This window comes from Homo sapiens, chromosome 15 (assembly GCF_000001405.40).
Source record: "Homo sapiens chromosome 15, GRCh38.p14 Primary Assembly".
Lineage (NCBI taxonomy): Eukaryota > Metazoa > Chordata > Mammalia > Primates > Hominidae > Homo > Homo sapiens.
In genome coordinates this window covers 73,774,564-73,776,156 of record NC_000015.10, presented here as the reverse complement: position 1 = coordinate 73,776,156, position 1,593 = coordinate 73,774,564, and the positions used below count along the sequence as shown (strand labels likewise).

At 54.6% G+C, this 1,593-nt stretch overlaps 1 annotated feature.

The window, feature by feature from the left end:
* Positions 394 to 1,593: an enhancer, noted in NCBI's record as "MED14-independent group 3 enhancer chr15:74066905-74068104 (GRCh37/hg19 assembly coordinates)". NCBI's record gives its function as "activates an origin of replication core promoter dependent on BRD2, BRD4, P300/CBP and CDK7 cofactors, and independent of MED14, by STARR-seq in HCT116 cells {active_cell/tissue: HCT116}" and the evidence as "EXISTENCE:reporter gene assay evidence [ECO:0000049][PMID:35650434]".

The following is a 1,593-nucleotide window of genomic DNA, read 5'->3' as shown; positions in this document are numbered from 1 at the left end:
TGATACAGACAACCATCCTGACCTTCAGGACCCCTGAGCTCTCTGACTTGATGAAGAATCTGTCTTCTCTCCCGAGACTGTGGGTCGTTGAGGAGAAAGAGTCTAATTCTGAAACATTTCTGGGTCTTCACATCCAGCATAGAGTCTGGTCCAGAAGAAGCAAATGCGAATGTTTGTGGAAGGAAAGGAGGGACAGAGGGAGGGACTCCAAGGCCATGCTCTTTCTTCTATCCCACAGCTTATTTGACACAGCCAAGGCTCTAAGATTTGTTTTTTGTTTGTTTGTTTGTTTGTTTGTTTTTTGAGATGGAGTTTCTCTGTTGTTGCCCAGGCTGCAGTGCAATGGCACGATCTCGGCTCACCACAACCTCTGCCTCCCAGGTTCAAGCGATTCTCCTGCCTCAGCCTCCCAAGTAGCTGGGATTACAGGTATGTGCCACCACGCCTGGCTAATTTTTTTGTATTTTTAGTAGAGACGGAGTTTCTTCATGTTGGTCTGGCTGGTCTCGAACTCCCGACCTCAGGTGATCTGCCCACCTCAGCCTCCCAAAGTGCTGGGATTATAGGCATGAGCCACGGTGCCCGGCCAAGGCTCCAAGATTTCATCCCACATTGCACATCCCCTTCCCCCACCTCACTGCCACTGGCCCTCTCCCTACTCCTCAGCCTCCCTCTCCCAAGTGCTAGTGCTCCCCACTCGTGAGGGCAGTAACCCCTCCCCCCCCCTCCCCTGCCGCACTGCCCACAGCCCTCAGGGACTGCCCTGCCAACTGAATCCCACCAGGGCCCAGGGCCTCAGTGATGGCTCTCTCAACAGGCCGCTCCCCTTAAGCAGGTGACAAGGCCTTGACCACAGACCCGCGGAGGAAGGTCTTGGAGGCCTGGCCTTGCCTGGCCCTTCAAAGCAACTGAGAAAGTGGCCACCTCCTCCACAGTGCCGCCCTCCTGCTGGCTGGAGCCTGTGTGGTCCACGCTCCTTTTCCGAGGTGGGTAGGGGGCTGGGGAGACTCCCAGGTTTTGTCAGCAGAGAACCATAGTTGGGGAGGACTGCGTTTCCATGGATACAAGCCATGGGAGCTGCTGGGAGATGGGGCCATGGTGTACACAGATACAGATCCACACGGACCTGCAAGAAAAATAGCAACAGATTTGCTGAGTCATTGGCCCCACATATTTATAGTTTCTGGCAAAGGCAGACCTGCCTATCAGAGGCTAATAATACTGCAGCAGCGTGTTAATTGCAAAGACGGAGCCTTCAAGCATCCATTCAGACACCCGAGACCGCTCCTTGAATAAAGAGTGGGGCCCTCACAATGAAAGCCGGGATGCGTGGAGGCAGCGTGTGTGCTTAGGAGTGTATGTGCATGCAGGTATGTGGAACCCAGCTCTGGCACGTTCGGAAAGCCAGACCGAAACCACCCCGCACCAGAGTGTTAGAAAGCACTCTTCAATCACCTAAGGATATCTAGGATTCAGCCCACTCTACAGATGGGCAGGGTGTGAGGAGATTGACAAGAGGAGAGCAGGCTGGTTGGCTATGTCCCAGGGGTGAGAGGAGGTGGACGGGGTGCTGGTCTGCAGCCGTGAGAGACC